The sequence below is a fragment of the Homo sapiens genome, chromosome 9 (genome assembly GCF_000001405.40).
Source record: "Homo sapiens chromosome 9, GRCh38.p14 Primary Assembly".
In the NCBI taxonomy this organism is placed as follows: domain Eukaryota; kingdom Metazoa; phylum Chordata; class Mammalia; order Primates; family Hominidae; genus Homo; species Homo sapiens.
In genome coordinates, this window is record NC_000009.12 from 67,155,872 (window position 1) to 67,174,435 (window position 18,564).

The window sequence follows — 18,564 nt, forward strand, 5'->3', positions numbered from 1 at the left end:
ACATTTTGGACTCTGTGGAAGCCACAATTTTAAAAATTCAGCGCTGTCTTGTTCCATATTTTCATCTTATCATCAAACCCTCTGTCTCAAATTTAGAACAGTAAGTTTGGACACAGCTCCTGGCCAAACCTTCTTTTGGCATCTGTGAATGAAAGTGCAGTTATACAGCAAAGATCACCGTCAGTGGGAGATCCAGAATTAATGTGGATTGAAGCTGAGTCGAGACGCAGTGGCTTTAATTCAGAACTGCTGCTAATCCAGTGTCCACGGACACTCTCGTAGAGAAAAGAATGCAAAGTACGGGGTGCAGGAGATGATATTAAACAGTCTCCGAATGTAGGTAAGTGCAAGAAAAGAAGGTGGAGGCAGTTTATAGAGGTGATTTAAAAGTTTTCATATAGTAGAAGCACATCCTGAACCAATCAGGAAGAGTTGGTTTAAAAAAAATCATGAAAAGGATATTTTGGTGATTCTGTACTGAAAGGGGAGAAGATGAGAGAAAAATCAATCAGAAGATTCAAACCTAGAGATAAAGAGACTCAAACCTGGAGAGAATTACTTCGTTTTGCTAGAGATGTCTAGCAAAACCAAGTAATTTTGCAAATGAAAGATTGAAGGTAGAGTGAAGAAGTGTCTTCTGAGAGATCCTTGGGCCTTGAAAGAGGCTGAGAACCCTATGTGGTCCCCTTGGTCAGTCCTAATACAGACCCTAAATCATAGCACACATCTCTCTCTCTCTCTCTCTCTCCTCTCTCTCTCGCACACATCTCTCTCTCTCTCTCTCTCTCTCTCTCTCTGTATCTCTTTCTCACTCCCTTCTCCGGGCAGGAGAGACAGCTGCAGGTGGGGGAAGGGTGGTGTCCAGTGAGGGGCCCAGGCCAGCTTTCTCAGGGGTCGCACTGGGCTGGTGAGGATCTTTGCAGCCTGAGGGCACCAACACTGGATGGGATAAGGGCAGACCAGATGGAAGGAACCTGGCACAAGCCATTTAATTAAATGCCCCTGCCCCTCACCCTTAAGTTAGAGAGAACCAGTCTGCAAGCTTCAGATTCCAGAGTAGGAACCCAGGTAAGGAGGGAGGAAGTGCCAGGAGCACACACAGACCCAGAGCCAAAGGGGAAGGTCTGTACAAAGCTGCCCCCATCCTCGGCATCGCTGGTGTGCCTGAGTGTCATGGGAGACAGCGACCACACAACACCCTTGGGGAAATGGGTGAGAGAGCAACACAGCGTGGCTAAAGATGAGCACTATTCTAAAAGAAAATACGGACTAAGAAAAGATGATCACAATTTTCATCTTTTCTTCAAGAGTGGTTACTTTTGGGGTTCAGTGAAAGAGTGGCTATCATTTTTTAGCTTAACTTTTATTTCAGTCTTCTTTTTTTTTCTTTTTCTTTTTTTTTTTTGAGACAGAGTCTCGCTCTGTCGCCCAGGCTGGAGTGCAGTGGCGCAATCTTAGCTCACTGCAAGCTCCGCCTCCCGGGTTCATGCCATTCTCCTGTCTCAGCCTCCCCAGAAGCTGGGACTACAGGCGCCCACCACCACACCCGGCTGATTTTTTGTATTTTTTTAGTAGAGACGGGGTTTCACTGTGTTAGCCAGGATGGTCTTGATCTCCTGACCTCGTGATCCACCCGCCTCAGCCTCCCAAAGTGCTGGGATTACAGGCGTGAGCCACTGCACCCGGCCTTATTTCAATTTTCTAACCAAGAATGTTTATGTGCCTGGCGCGGTGGCTCACACCTGTAATCCCAGCACTTTGGGAGGCCAAGGTGGGCAGATCACGAGGTCAGGAGTTCAAGACCAGCCTGGCCAACATGGTGAAACTGTGTCTCTACCAAAAATACAACAATTAGCTGGGCATAGTGACATGTGCCTGTAGTCCTAGCTACTCAGGAGGCTGAGGCAGGAGAATCTCCTGAACCCAGGAGGCAGAGGTTGTGGTGAGCCGAGACTGCACCACTGCACTCCAGCCTGGGCGACAGAGCAAGACTCCATCTGAAAAAAAAAAAAAAAGAATGTATATGTGATCATACTTTGTTGGTTTATTAATACATTTATTTTGTATGTCAACAAGGGTTATCTGACTGGTAAGACTGTGAACCATATTTTGTTTTTTCTTTGTTATTCTCTGCTAAAAACAAACAATAAAAGGAAATAAACAGAAGGTCCTCAAAATGTGGACTTGTAATTGTGCACTGATGGAAACAAATGAAAAAGCAACACATTTATCGCAATATAATAAAACACAAACTGACATATTAAAAATGGGAACTTTTTTGTTTAATTACTCCGTCAGGTACATTTTATTTCTATCCCTTTGGGAGTCAGCTGAGCATCTTTCAGGGAATTGACCTCCTGCAGAAAATTAGTCACCCTGGGGTCTCAGCTTTCTGGATTCCTGAGGATGTGCCCTACACCTGACAGGGCAGAAACAAGGACAGAATGCCTCATGCTTACTTCAGTTTGCTTTTCAGATAAATATTTATTTTTCTTTTCTCTCCAGCTCAACATTTAACTTTTCATGCATAGTAAGCATTCATCTTGAATTTATTGTTAATTACATAGCTCTCGTCATTTTGGTTTAGCAATATTGCCGACTCATTTAAATGCCAAAAAAATTTTAATTTATTTATGAAACCTTCTAAAAAAGCTTGAAAACACAATTTGGTGGAGGTTAGCCATTTGATTTCAACAAATTTCAGATGTATATGGCTGGATTCTATTTAAATCAATTTTTTTTCTGAATGCAAAATTGATATTTCTTATAAATGCTAAGCATTATTTTATATAAAAATGCCAAACTTCTGTGATAATCAACATATTTCCCTTATTAACATAGTCTAAAATATATTTAAAAATTCTAATTTGATGAGAAAATTTTGAATGGGGATGGTTATCATTCACTCTTTCTGGATTGTTTCTCAACATTGAAATGGACAGTCATCCTCTTAGGAAAAACCCAAACTGAAGTTCTCAAAACTAGGTTTGGGGAGAATTATAACTGATTTGAGATTTGGTTGATAAATGCATCATTCCTGATTGGGAAATGATTAAATTTTCAGCAATTGGCATTTGGGCCAATTTAAAGTGATTCGAGATAGATTGTAACTGCAGTAATATTACTGGGGAAATGGAGTATTTGCTCAAGACAGGTCTTGTTCTTTTAACCAATTTTCCTTTTTTCTTGTGATCTGAACTTATTTCAAATTAGTTAGATGAGACATGGCATATGCTATTCAACCAAAATGTAATGGTCAATGAAGATGTTAACACATGTCCTCGTTCACATTTTAAGCACATATTAATATTCTCAATCTCAAAAACATTTACAGTCATCTCCCTGCAAGGGATTGGTTCCAGGACCCCCTCGGGTACCAGAATCTGCTCATACTTAAGTCCCACAGTCAGCCTTGTAGAGACTTCTGATACAGAAGGCCAACCATATTTATTGAAAAAAAGGTGACACATTGATTATAATGCAAAAGTGTAAATATGAAGGAAACCATCTTCCTTTAGTACAGAAGGCATATTTGTGCCAGGTGAAATGACTGAATATAAGAACAATATTTAAAATAAGCTCTGTAGAACTCGCATATTACCTAACCTTGTTAAATATGGCTTATTTGCCTCTGGTGTTTCTATTTTTTAGTCCAAGGCGTTTTCCCTTTTTTTCTCTCTGATTACTTATCTTTCTTCTTTGTCATCAATATTCACAGTATTGAAGCATCCCTTTAATTTCTTAGTCTATTTGATTTCCTCTAAAATGTCATTAGCATACTCTTTACATACTCAGACACACGGTACTAATTGATTAAATAAATTCCAAGAAAGACATAAAATTAAGCACATTATTACATTCAGAACGAATGAGAGACATTTAAAGTCAAAAACCCCCACCAAACTTTAAATTTTCAGCAAATAGAAGCTCTGTATGAATATGATTTTAATTAACAGTCACTTCATTTTAAATAATCACATCACTTACAGAGGTATGATGTTAAGAGGCTTGGTTTTCGCATAATCGCTGTGGGAAGGTGAGCGCTCACATAAAAAGCACACCCAGCTGAACCTGGAGGATTCATGCAGTGGGGAAACTGAACTTGCGTTCAATGTAGCCTTGCTGAGGAATATTGAAAGACGTGACCAATCATAGGTACTAATGCCCTATTGGGACAACCATAGATCCTGATAAAGAATTCTGAGGAACTTAACACCAGAGCAAGCCTGATACAGAAGTATGTAAAACAGAACATCAGAGTAAGCTCACTGTAATTACTGGTGCAAATTGAACATCTGCTGACTATTTTCTAAAGATAGGATGATGTGTAACAACTGCAACATTAATTTCATATAAATGGAGCTGAATATTCATTACAGCTTTGTAGCCACTTGCTGCCTGTCCACATACATTCAGGTTATTTGTTTTGCCCAATAATAAAATCAACTAATTCTGTATTTGTGAATTGGCATGTTTCTTTGGGTATTGATTTTCCCCCCAACAATTTGGTGATGAGGATGGGATTTCTTGAGTGAGTGCTTCTATTGGTTAATTTGTGGGAAGATTTGTGTCCACCTTCTTAAAAAGTCATTTTATTGTGATAAAACACACTTAACATAAAATGTGGCCTCTTGGATTAGGTAAGAGACCCCGACTGTTTGCTTAAAAGTCTCCCATTATCTACTTTGGCTCAGCAGGATTGGGTTCCTGGGGAAAATTTCAAACCCTTACTACAAATTTGGAGTTATTATTGAGCAAAATGTGTAATGCAGGCTCACAGGTCCTATATGATTCAGGATAGGTTTTAACGGCAGAAAAATATGGGAAGTCCAGAATGTTGCTGGCAGGTCTTTCTCTTAGAAGGGTTATTTCACTCTATTATGTTTAGAATGGGTAAACTTCTGAAAATTCTGCTTTGCAATGGCCAGAGAAAGGCTTTTTTTTTTTTTTTCCCTGAGACGGAGGCTCACTCTGTCGCCCGGGCTGGAGTGCCGTGCCGTGGAGCCATCTGGGCTCGCTGCAAGCTCCGCCTCCCGGCTTCATGTCATTCTCCTGCCTCGGCCTCCTGAGTAGCTGGGACTGCAGGCGCCTGCCACCATGCCCTGCTAATTTTTATGTACTTTTAGTAGAGACAGGGTTTCACCGTGTTAGCCAGGATGGTCTCGATCGTGATCTGCCCGCCTCTGCCTCCCAAAGTGCTGGGATTGCAGGCATGAGCCACCGTGCCCGGCCGAGAAAGACTCTTTTGAGGTAGACAAATTAGTGTATGCACGGAGATTTTAAGGAAAAAAAATCCCAAATAAACGGATAATTTATATTCCTGAGATGAAGTAGTCAGTAATAAAACAAAAACCAAAAAGAGTGAATTAAGAAATTGGAAGAATAGAGTAAGAATCTGAAAGCTCTTTTTCTTCCTCCAGCTTCTCATTTCTTCTCTGCTGTCATTCCTTTTGTTTCCTCAGCTTCTCTTCACCCTTCTTTGCTCAATCTGGGATCTCAGAGGAGGGAGGTAATGGTCTCTTGGATGAATTGGAAACCTGGGATGAATTCCCTTTAGAAGGAGCAAATTGTTTAGCTTTATTAGAATATCCTGATATTGGATGCCCTAGTTCTGATCCCATCTCTGTGATTCCCTCTAAACTGAATATGCAAAACACAACTAAACATCTATAAATTACTCAGAAGAAAGATCAAAGAGTCAGTGAGAATTTGGGTAAGAGATTGTATCCTAGAATAAAGGTTTTGGGTTGCTGAATGGTTGATTGCCTTAAGAACTTAGAAGAAATGGAGGGAGTCAAATTACTATGGCATAACAGGGACTGAAACTACAGTGCCATACAAACCAACTTATTTTTCATTTCATGATGAAAATCAGCCCTATCCCTTTGCAACTGCAGTGACACAAATGCCAGAATCCATATTGCCTTCCCCCAAGTTGATATACTTCTCTTAAGAGATTTTTTTCTATTGCTCTGGGAAGATTCACACAAATTTGCAGAAGTGCTCTGCAGCATTTTTTCAACATATAACTACACACGTGAGGATATAAACTGGCTGCTGTGTGATGTGTTGCCTCTGGCTGACTTGCTCAACTAGTGGAACAGGTGTGATAGAGGCCAAATTATAACCCCCTCATCAGGGAGTGCCATGGCCTCAGGAAACCAGCCGTCCACCTCTTTCCATAACTCAGTGTGAGGGATGGCTGATGGCAGTCCTTGGAGCCTCTCTGCATATGGTGACCTCTAGCAGTGCTACAATAACGCACTCAAGAGGCAGGTGTGTCCCTGTTGCTTTTCATCAGCAGTGCACTGAAGCAGTTTATAAATTTTTGGGGCCCAATCCAAGGGAAGATCAGAATATATCCTTGGTCCTCTACCTTTTAAGCAGGCTTTTTGCCAGGAATTTCCCTGCCAGCAATTGTCAGGAGAAAAAATAGTTTGATGGCAAGGGCGGACAGTTGGTGCCAGCAATCCATTTTGGGAAAATGTGGGGAAGAACTTAAGACTGCAGTGTTAGCTGCCCAGTTAGAATTATTCACAGATGGGACAGATTTTATTGTGAGCCAACAACAAATAAAAAGGAATGCTCTAATGGAAAGTTGATATATCACTGTTGTAAGAAACCAGGATATTCAGAAAGGGGATGCTGAAGAAATTAAGACGCAAAGGATTCAACCTGAGTCTGAAGCTTTATTAGCTTCTCTAGGAGATTTTTCTCCTGAGAAACTGGATGAGAAATAATTGGCAAACGGTGCAAACTAGTGTGCAAAACTGACATAATGAGGAAACCTTTGAGTTGGGAAGCAGAGAGCTTTATATGTCTGTTTCTTTTCCTCATCTTAATCTTTTCATGTTTTTTTTTCTTTTTTTTTTTTGTGAACCCTGGAGCCATGTATTCTGTAATTTCTTCTGACCTTTTTTTTGTTTTAATGTTTTGGATATCTCCGGACAACCTTCTGTCTGTTCTTGCTGCTCTGAAATTATTCTGCAAATAGATCTTTTGTAAAAGAAACATGCTTTTATCTAGTCTCCTGATGCACCTAGCTATTTGTTGGAAAGGGACTCGCTGTGTAAACTAATGCCTCCCACCCATTCTGTATTCTGGGTGAAATGATTTTGGAGCCCTGGGAGGCAAGGCACCTGATGATAAGGTAAAGATGTGCCTTCTGAAACCAATGGGGGCAGTGGTGAGTGGCAATCTCACCTTGCACTGGAATAGATCAATTGACAAGAAGTAGATCCATTTTTCTGGATCCCAGGAACAAATATTTTAGTAAAATGTATCAATGCTATAATTATAGCTTACAACATGGAATAGCTCAATTATAAGATATAATCTATACATTTTTTAATTAGGAAAATGAGCTGTAATAAAGGGCATTCAGTTTGTAATGCTTCTACATTACCTGTGAAAAAGGAAGGAAAATATGACAGGGAAGGTGGACCTGTTTATAGATTTGTACAAGATCTTATAGAAATAAGTATGTTTGTGATTCTTCTGGTACCTGTGCTTGTGCTAGCTGACCTGGCTACTATTTTAATTACAATACCTATGCCAACTAAGTATTCTTCTGCAGTAGACTTTTGTTCAGGTTTTTTTCTGTACCTTTACATGAGAAATCAAGGTTCATCCTTACATTTACCTATGGCAGCTTTCAATATTTGTGGCAACGGATTCCTCAGGATTTAGAGATTCACCTACTATATTCTCTAGACATTTACTGTTCAAGAGAACTTAAAGTCATTTTCCTCACCTTAGAGTTTCATGCTGATTCAATATGCAGATGAATCATTGATAGCTGCTGACACCTTACATGTGATAAGAAGAAAATGTAACTTTCTACAAATTTTTAGCTTCCTAAGCATATAAAACATCCCTAGATAAATAGCAATAGTGTCAAACTGAACTCAAGCATTTGGGACATTTGTGACTGGCCAATAAAAAATAGTCCCTTCCTAGAGTCAGCCTATTTTACAAATTAAGCTTGCTTAATTAAAAAAAATCAAGTTTGCCAGTTTTGGGGATTGGTTGGGAATTGCAGTCAGGAGATCCCTGCCTGTTCAGAAAAGGCGAAGCCTGTCACTGAGCTGTTGCATCAAACGTCACCAGCACCTTTACTGGGGTCATGTTAGCAGTGGAAGATCTGTACAGGTCTGCAACAACCTCAGTTCTTGCTACCTCAGAAGAAGGAATTCAACCGAGGAGCTTAAGGTGGAGGAAGAGACTGAGGCAGAGACTCGGAGCAGGAGTGAATGTTTATTAAAAAGTTTCAGAGCAGGAACCAAAGAAAGTGAAGTACATTTGGAAGAGGGGCAAGCCGGCAGCCTGAGAGATTCAAGTGCACGGTTTGACCTTTAACTTGGGGTTTTATACATTGGCATTCCATATGCACAGTGGCCTGTCAGCACTTGGGAGGGGTCATAGGCATAATGTGTTCACTGGAGTTGTATGCATGTTCCTAGAAGAAGGTCATGTACCAGTTAAACTCCACCATTTTGCCTCTTAGTGCGCATGCTTGAGGCCACTCACCCAGCTCCTGAGATCATATTGGGAAGCTTCTGATCACCAGTTACAGGTGTTTCTATCTATTGCGAGACTGCCTTTCCCTGGCACTGGCTACAACCAATTATTTTAGAGAGACAGTGTAACAACTGCCTGACCATCACCTGATGGTTGCCTGACATTCCTGGGGTCGGGGGGTCCTCTCCTGTTCTGCTCATGTCTGACTAACTACTATCACAGTCAGAAGAAGCTGAAAAGCCTTTCAAACCCTTTAAGGACCTATTGTCTCCCCACGTGTATTCATAACTCTGGTAAACTATTCTACTTTTTCCATCTGGAGAATAAAGGAGTTGCTAGTGGTGTGCTTACTCAGAACCTAGGCCCTGACTATAGACCTATTGGTTACTTTCCTGTCTTGTTGGATTCTGTTGTTCTGGATATGCCAGGCTTTCTACAAGCCACAGTAGCTCTTCTGATTGTGTCACTGCCCGATGGGTTCTTCCTGCTCGCTGCAAAAAAACAAAACAAAACAAAAAACATGGTATTTGCTGTAAAGAGTTTAAATTAACTCAAGGTTGGCAACACCACATTAGAGATGAAGTTATTGTTCAAGTCAGTCTCATCGAAGGCTCATAGGTTAGGGATTTTTCAAAGGTAGTTTAGGGAAAGGGCGGGGAGTGGCTAGGCAATGGGTGCTTGCCGCTGATTGGTTGGGGGTGTAATCATAGGGGTGTGGGAAATGATTCTTCTGCATGCTGAGTTACTTATGGGTGGAGCTACGGGAGCTGTTGGCAGGTCCAGTGGAGCCATCGGTAGTCAAACATGCAAAAAACCTGGATATCTCAAAAGGCTAATCTTAGATTCTACAATACTGATGTTATCTGCTGGAATTCATGAGGAAGTTGCATATCTCGTGACCTCTGGACAAATGGCTAGCAATCATTTATGTCTGTATTTTAGCAGAATTTAGGCTCCTCTATTCTCCTAGCCTGGTGGTCTCTCATTAGCTTTAGTTTTGGGGAAGGGCTATTATCATTTAAACTATAAACTAGATGTCTCTCACGGTTGGCTTGCCTAAGCCCAGGAATGATTAAGGGCAACTTGAAGGTCAAGGGCAAGAAGGGGGTTAACTAGATCAGGTCTCCCCATTGCCATAATTTTGTCACTGTTAGAATTTGTGCAAAGGCGGTTTCAGAGCTCAGCTTTGACCCTAGGACATTGAACTTCCATGTGCCTCATGTTGTTGCTGCTGTTTTACAAATTCATAGACAGAAAATTTCTAGCACACTGCCGGATAAGCCACGAGCAAGTCTTATTATCTCATACTAATATTATTCTAGGCAGGTGGCACCTTTTGAGTCTGGTTACTCTGTTTGTAGATCCTAACCAAATAGGAGGATGTGACTGCCTCATAGTCACAGAAAATACTCAACCTAGGCCTGATTCATTCAGTATTCTTATTCCCAATGCTGGCAATATTGTTCATTGATGGATCCGTGTGAGAGACACACAGGAATATACAATTGCATCTTATTTTATAGGTAGAGATGGCTTTTTCTTAGAACATATTATACATGATTACAAGTGTAAAAATATGGTGAAATAATTTTATTTGCTTTTCAAATGATTTTTGTTGCTAAAAACTAAAATTAAAAATAGAGAACAAGTATCCTAAATGTTTTTGAAACTATTATCATAGCAATTCTCAGACTATCAAGACTATGAACTATTTTCCATGATAGCACACTAATCATAACAATCATAACCATTTGTATGTGCATATCTAATATCTAATATTCAGGGATAAGGTCATACAGATTACCCAGTTTAATGCTCACAGATTCTTATGTGAAAAAATATATATTTGGTCATAGTTAAAATGGACAAAATAAGTGAATCTGTCTGATGGTCAGATAGTAAATATGTCAAACAAACAAATGATTACAATTTTCAGTTAGAATAACAAAAGCACTTAGATCACTGACTTAATAATAGTGATTCCCTAGGTAATTTTTTCATCTGTGCAGGTTGATTATCAGGGATGAAAAAGTGTGAAAACATTCCAATTAAGTAAATTGCTCTGCAGTTGGTGGGAAGTACTAAGTAATTACTTGTGGTGAGTCCAGAGATGAAGATGGAGTGGGCATCTCTGAGTCATCCAGGCAAAGGAAGACAGGTGCTGCTCCTCACAGCAGAACAAGGAGCTGGGTTTAGAGAGACTGGATAGAATATAGCATTAGGAAGGTTATCTCTAACAATCAAGTCAATGCACCAGCATTTGCCTGGGACCAACTGTGTGTTAAACACTGGTAAATACTGGGAGGGTTAAAGGTGCAGATCTTGGGGAACCTAGCATAAAATTCAACACAGCAGACATTTATTCTCCTTGAAGAATTCCTGACTTTGCAACAATGCCTATCATGTCCCAGAACGAGGCTTGTTGTTGAAAGTCTCTGAGAAACCAGAGATGGCACCAGCATAATACCCTGAACTTTTATAAAGCACAAAGATTTATAATTATAATAAGGAAATCTGAGAGCAAGAAGACATGCTGATCGATCTCACACAGGAAATTTGTCCCAGATCCAAGTCAAATGACAAGTTAGATGAATTGCCTGCTTTCTAAAAAGGTATTTTAACATTTAACTAATGGGATCATTTAAAGTCAATAGCAATATCTCAGAAAGAACACCTGTTAAGTTGTGATATATTTAGTTATATGCACTATACACAGAGAGCTAAGTGGCTAGTTCTGCTCTCTTCATTATCTGAATTATTTTAAAAATTACATTTAAGTTAATCTTGATTCGTATTTTGGATTGCTTTATGTTTCTGAATGATCATTTCCTCAAAGTTATCAGTAGTGAGCAAACACAAGGAAACATTTATTTGTCTTTTTTAAACATGCACTACACTTTGTTTTTCTCTTTTTGACTTATTCAAATATGGTAAATTAATTAATTTTTATTTAAAAAAATGATAGGATGCTCAAGTATCAAACATACAAATGTATTTGCAGTGTTTCATTTTTCAATGATTATGTATATTTAATTAATTAAAGATATGCATAAGTGCATATACACATACATTTTTTTCAATAAGGTACTCTTGCTGTCATTGATTATTCATTTATTTTCTAACATTTCTTTCTTTCTTGACCCAAATATAAACTAACTATTTCAGGCCATGCTCTTTTAGTGCTAGAGAAAACTTTAGATTCCATAGTACTTTTTTTTTTTTTTTTGAGATAGAGTCTCACTCTGTCACCAAGGCTGGAGTGCAGTGGTGCAATCTTGGCTCACTGCAACCTCCACCTCCGAGGTTCATGTGATTCTCCTGCCTCAGCCTCCTGAGTAGCTGGGACTACAGGGGCACGCCACCATGCTAGGGTAATTTTTTTTTTTTTTTTTTTTTGAAGTAGAGATGAGGTTTCACCATATTGGTCAGGCTGGTCTCAAATTCCTGACCTCAGGTGATCCACCTGCCTCAGCCTCCCAAAGTGCTGAGATTACAGGCGTGAGCCACCGTGCCTGGCCCTGTAGTACTTTGTAGCGTGCTTTCCAGCTAAACTGAAGCCTCAGGTGACATACCATGGCTCTCACAGCTAATTAATGAAAAAGCTGGAACCATCACCCACATTTCTTAATTCCTACTTCAGTTCATTTAATAATGCTAGAATAAGGCAAAGTCACACTTTTCTCATTTTGTGTTGATAAACATTGTATTCTAATGGTTAGTAAAATATTAATAATGCATTCATGAGCACTTTAAAATAATTAAGTACAGCTGTTCACATAGGCAGTTATCGATACTAATTTAAATAAGAAACAGTTTTGCATGTTACATCATTATCTGTAATCTTCTGAAAATAACAGGGACAAAAGCAGTATCATCCTTGCCTAATGTCATCTGCTAGTGAGGGGATGCAGACCTAAGTGACTAAGTTGATTCCGGCTGAGAATCAAAGGAAAAGGTCCATAGATTCATCCTTGCTTTCAAAGAGTGGCATTGTGAGAATGAGTAAGAGGAAATATCACTTAGTATTAACAGATGATAATAAGTAGTGTTTCCTACTAATTGATTATTTACCATATGCTAGTCCTATGCTAAGAGTTTAGAGATACGTGAGAGTCTTGTGAGTCCGGATCATCATTCTCCCCAGTGTTCAGAGGGGAAGGCTCTGCATGGTTGAGTATCTTGCCCATAGTCACAGAACCAGTATATGTTGGGACTTGGCCTCAGACCCAGGTCTCTCCAGCTTCGCAGCCTGTGTTCATCATATGATGTATCACTTACAGGAAACTCCAAAACTGAGCTGAAGTCTTTGACAGTTGCAGGAGTCAGCATCCTGCTGGAGCCGTGGCCTCACAGTCCTGTCTGTGTCCTTGGGAGGGCTCTGTGGCAGCCCCAGGTCCCACTTGCCAGGAGTCCCTTCTTCACCCATGGGCATCCTGAGAACAGAGGAGGCTGAGGGGGCAGCAGCAGAGGGTTAACAGCTCTTCAGCAGGCACTGGGTCCACATGCTGGAGCCCTTTTTTGTTGATTTATTGTGTTTAGACATCAGATGCGAAGGTTTCCATGAGTCACCTTCCTCAGTGAGGAATCATGAAGGAATGATCGGTCTGGCCTGCATAAGGCCCTACTCTTGCCTTGGTGTTCATTCATTCATTAATCATATTTTTTTATACATGATTCATATTTCCCCAGTCCAATACATTTTATTTGTACATATTCTTTTAAAAATCATAATTCTTTTGTTCACACATATTTACACTTACATATAATATTGTTTTATATCTTTCATTTTGCTTTTTACTGATTAACTCTGCATAAATATAATTGTACTAGTCATACTAAGGTGATAAAGATAATATGCTAATTTTTAATAATCAATAGAAACATTTTAATTACTTCATAAAATCATCAAGGTATATGTCATGGTAATTATATTATTAATGCTATATACTTAGAAATAATACAGTTTCTTCATATAACACTTATAATTAACAAAGTGTCTTAATCAAATAATCTTGTTAACAGGCATTACAGGGAGCAGCTTAACAATATCTTTCATTTGTATAGTTCCTTAGAATTTTCAAGTCACCTACAGAAACATCTTCCAACAAGCTATAATTGGGCAGAGCAGTTAGTATTATCCCCATGTTACTCATAAAGAAGCTGAGATTACAAGCACTAAAATTTGTATCCAATATCAGCATAGTCTGGCAATTAAGGAAACAGAATTAGAACTCAGGGACTCACGGGCACTTTCTTACCCCACACACAGACAGCTTAAAATAATAACAGCATATTAAAATAAGAATCTCTCGTAGTACATTTGAGTGTTTGGGAAACTAATAATAAGCTGAAGCTGCTGAAGAATCTATTTCTTTTAGACAGGCTTTTCTAACATCTTTGTGAGGACTAACTGAATTGATGTGTGAAATTGCATAGGACAGTGGTGGCCCTATGCATAGTAGAGATTTAATGCTTATTTTAAAATTCAGAGACTCATTTCAGTATCTCGTAATTTAAAATAAAGATTTGATGATAAAAACCCACTAAAACAGAAACGACAAAATGACAAATTTGGAAAAATAACAAATTTCTAACAGTCTTCTTAAAAATAGTTGTTGATGAGTCTTACCTTGACAGATTTTTTTCTGCTTATGGCTGTCAATCTGGGTATTTCATACTCAACCACAACTATCCATGTGCTTAACATTTTGCAGACCAGGATATCACATGAGCACCATCACTGACTGTGACTGTTAGATTTAACTAATGTGACCGCTAAAAATCAAAGTAGAGTGTTGGAAATTTTTCAGTAATGTCATTAATTCCTAAGTTATTTATGAAACATATTTCCAGCATGTGAGTGGACTCCAAGCCACAGATTTCAGTCACTTTCATGTATACCTAAGGAACATGTTATGAAAACTGATCATTTTATCTGAAAATACTCATTTTTGATTACTTAATATAATACTTAGCTAGAATGCCCTCAAAGACAGGGAATCCACATCAAACTTAAGTGACTGTCTTTCAATAAGATGGAGCTTTTATACATGAACACACCACACACACACACAAATTGCAGAGGAATGCTGTAAAAAATAAATGATTTATAATCTTAAAAATACATTATATATATTAACTAGTTTAATTCTTACCAAGATTGCCAGATAGATATAATTTTTCTACTTTACAAAGAAAGATGATGATTTCTCCCAAGGTCACATGCCTGCTAAGACAGAAAAGAATTTGAAGGACTATGGCTTCCAAAAACTATTCTGTATACTCTCACTCTCCACAGAGCTGTAACCTTTGCTGTTTATGTCTAAAATGAAGACGTAATCCTCTGCAGAATTGTTGAAGGCTGCATATTTCTATAAAAGCTGGCTTATCCTTCTAGAAGGTTCATTTTTCCACCTTAATAAAACAAAGCAGGAATAGGTATTTGTGTTCGCCATTCTTTTGTCCATAGTGGTCATGTGCTCACGTATGAACTCATGTCTGCTCTGCAAGCTCTCGAAGCAAACTTTGAATATAATGAATAAGAGACTACACTGCATATTTTTAAGACACACATTATTTTACTGTTATAGATAAGGTTATTTCAATAATAAGCCCTGAATGTTATGACAGTGAAATGCTAGTATAAATCTTTCCTGCCCAAAATGTATTCTCTTTAATTTCTATATCTTTAAAGAACAATGGTTCATTTGGTTGGTATCCCATGAAGCTGGTTATAATTCTATATAAGACAATAATGTGATTTCTGAAATTTCAAATGAATTAATGTGATTATATATATAAACTTTTAAATATATTTTAGTCATATGTAATAAATGTTTGATTTTTTATTGATATCTCTGAAGTTGCAAAGAGTATGTTTCTCATCTGCCTTATTCACAAACTATTAGGTAATGTCTATTTAAAGTTTCTTAAATGTTAATCTATTTAATTACGCAAAAATTGACATTAAATTTTATTTTGCTACATGATCCTATTATCACATCACTCAGAAGTATATTTTCCAGAGTTTACACTTTGAAACAAATTGAGAAAGAAGTAACATTTGGCAGATAAAGGTGAAAAAATTCTGTTTTGGTAGGGTTCCTTTGAAAGGTTTTTATTGTATTGTTTTTACTGAGGTTTACAAAGTTTATTCAGCTACAGAAAAATATGATTTTAATTCTGCAACTGAATTTTAACATTGGAGTCAAAATGCTCATAGGATCTGATGTTCCTGTATTAGCTTGGCTGTATGTCTTAGATATTAAACCCAAATTAGAACCAAAATAAAAGGATGGATCAACCATCTCTACCAACCATGCCAACAATGACCAACCTGGGTCACAGTCACAGCAGCCACCTCCACGCAGGTGGTGGGCTGATTGATTTCCAGGTGTTATCTCAATTAGTACTCTGGCCCTTCAAGATCAGTTTTACAGATGAAGAAACCGCAGCTTGCAGCAGAGAGTAGCAGGGTTTGAGGTGGTGGAGCTGGGATATGGCTTATTTTATATAGGTCAGCCTGGGCTGTCCAGACAGAAGGTTGTGAGTGCAGAGGTTGTGCAAATATTTACCTGAAGTTTGTATAGCGATTGTTAACTCAAAAAATGTTGATGTACATGACCCTTTAGTTGGAACAAGAGTGAAATGATTATCTCTGGCTGGGCATGGTGGCTTAATGACTGTAATCCTAGCATTTTGGGAGGCCCAGGTGGGCAAATTACTTGAGGCTGGGGGTTCGAAACCAGCCTGGCTAACATGGCAAAACCCCGTCTCTACTAAAAATACAAAAATTAGCCAGGTGTGGTGGCATGCTCTTGGAATGCCAGCTACTGGGCAGGCTGAGGCAGGAGAATTGCTTAAATCTGGGAGGCAGAGGTTGCAGTGAGTCTAGATCGCACCACTGCATTCCAGCCTGGAAGACAAAGTGAGAACCTGTCTCAGAAAAAAAAAAAAAAAAAAAAAAGGTGAAATGATTCTCTTGGAACTGGCATGAATTAGCAATAGACGAACTGTTACCAAGTCTGACATCAACACTAGCATTTAAAATTGACCACATTCACTAAGGCATTTCCTATATTTTTATTTCCATGTGTTTATACCCAGGGACACCCATTGGTGGTTGGATATGAGGCAGGCTGATCTTTATTCTCTTCGTTTTGTTGTTAAGCCTGGTACATTCTTTTTTTTTTTTTTTTTTTTTGTGACGGAGTCTACCTCTGTTGCCCAGGCTGGAGTGCAGTGGCACGATCTCGGCTCACTGCAAGCTCCACCTCCCGGGTTCACACCATTCTTCTGCCTCAGCCTCCTGAGTAGCTGGGACTACAGGGGCCCACCACCATGCCCGGCTAATTTTTTTGTATTTTTAGTAGAGACAGGGTTTCACCGTGTTAGCCAGGATGATCTCGATCTCCTGACCTCGTGATCTGTCCGACTTGGCCTCCCAAAGTACTGGGATTACAGGGGTGAGCCAACGCGCTGGCCCTAAGCCTGGTACATTCTTTAGTAAAGCAAAATAATTAGGCAGGAGACATTCTTCATTCTTGGTTGAACTAACTGCTGGCCTGTTCCATACATAAATATTAACTATGTGCCCCAGTCATGTTAGGTGATAGCACTTCTAGTGCAAAAGAGCATTAACCCTTTCCTTGTTCTCACACATGCCATATTCTTAAAAATCTGAAAACAATGAAAAAATATCTAAAACAATTTTGTTTGCTTTGCACTCTGATCCTTCCCAATGTTCAGATAGCAAGATGGAGTGAAGAGTGAAAGCCCCTTTGCCCTGGAGCAGATAGTGGCAGTGTGCTCCTCTTGACACCCCCAGGAAGCAGGCCACAGGTGCATGGAGCTGTGTTCACTGTGAAGTGGATTCAGCCTGATAACATGGAATCAATGATGCCATTGAAATAAAAGCCAGATGTAATCCTGCCCACACTCTATGATAGCTGTCCTACATCCAGAGTGTCCTTTCTTCTTCCTAGACTGTAGTTTTTCATTTATAAATTAAGGGTGTGGGGCTGGAATCATGTCTAGGTCCCTTCCAACTCTCTAATTGCAGATTCCAGGATTCTCACTGCAGATCCTTTGCATGTTACCGTGGTGCTTGATTGCCCTGCCATGTGATGTGGCTTTTTGTGAGCATCTTTACCACTTGATTAGGGAGGAATCTGTGGGATAGCATTTTAGAAAAGTGAACTTCATAGAGGTTGCCATGTTTATAGTCATTTTAATGATGTGGATGAAATTTAAACTACCTTGTAAATAAAAAAACGTAGACAATGGTGACGAATTCAGGGACTGGAGAGGTTGTCACATCCTTGTTAACCATTAGCAGTGTTTCCTTTAAAACAGCAGCTTTTTGCATATTAGCAAAGCGAGCATACATTGCTCATTGCCATGAGAGGTGACGACATGAAGATGGTGCATCCTGCAGATACATTGATCCCTTTCTCTGTTTTCTCCTAGGGTTTTCCAGGAAACACAAACGCAGACAGTGTGGTGCACTACAGACTCCAGCCTCCCTTTGAAGCCAGGTTCCTGCGCTTTCTCCCTTTAGCCTGGAACCCCAGGGGCAGGATTGGGATGCGGATCGAAGTGTACGGATGTGCATATAGTAAGTGGCCTTTATTCCCTGTGTGAAATCAAGGTCAGCATGAGATTCTGTCAAAGCCAAACTGTAAAAGCCAATGTCGGCATGAAATGTTGAACTTGACTTTTTCTGTCTTTTTATATAGCTGGGCAAGCAGAACTGGTTTTTATTGAAACACTCTAGTGTCTCCCCATGACAATATGGACTTTAGTTACTGTCTTTTATAGTTGAATTTAGTGGTGGACCTGAACTGAAACTTACCTGTCTTTAGATTCCCAGAGTTTAGCAAAGTACTTGCAATATGGTAGGCATCTGATGAAACGAATACAATTCAAACTAACAACAGATGATGCTGTTTTTCTGAAGCTGAGATGACACGCTGTCTGGGAAAACAGGAGCTGTACTGGGGGCAGGGTGTGATTTCTCGCAATCTCTTGGTTCTCTGTGTTTTT

The 18,564-nt window shown here is 39.3% G+C and overlaps 1 pseudogene across 1 annotated transcript in view; it reads left to right on the forward strand.

The window, feature by feature from the left end:
• The window catches only part of CNTNAP3P2 (CNTNAP3 pseudogene 2), a 237,697-nt pseudogene that overhangs the window by 96,412 nt on the left and 122,721 nt on the right, over positions 1–18,564 (forward strand). Inside the window, exon 4 of the transcript NR_111893.2 lies at positions 17,989–18,136. The product of NR_111893.2 is annotated as a CNTNAP3 pseudogene 2 (transcript). The remainder of the gene's footprint in view (positions 1–17,988; positions 18,137–18,564) is intronic.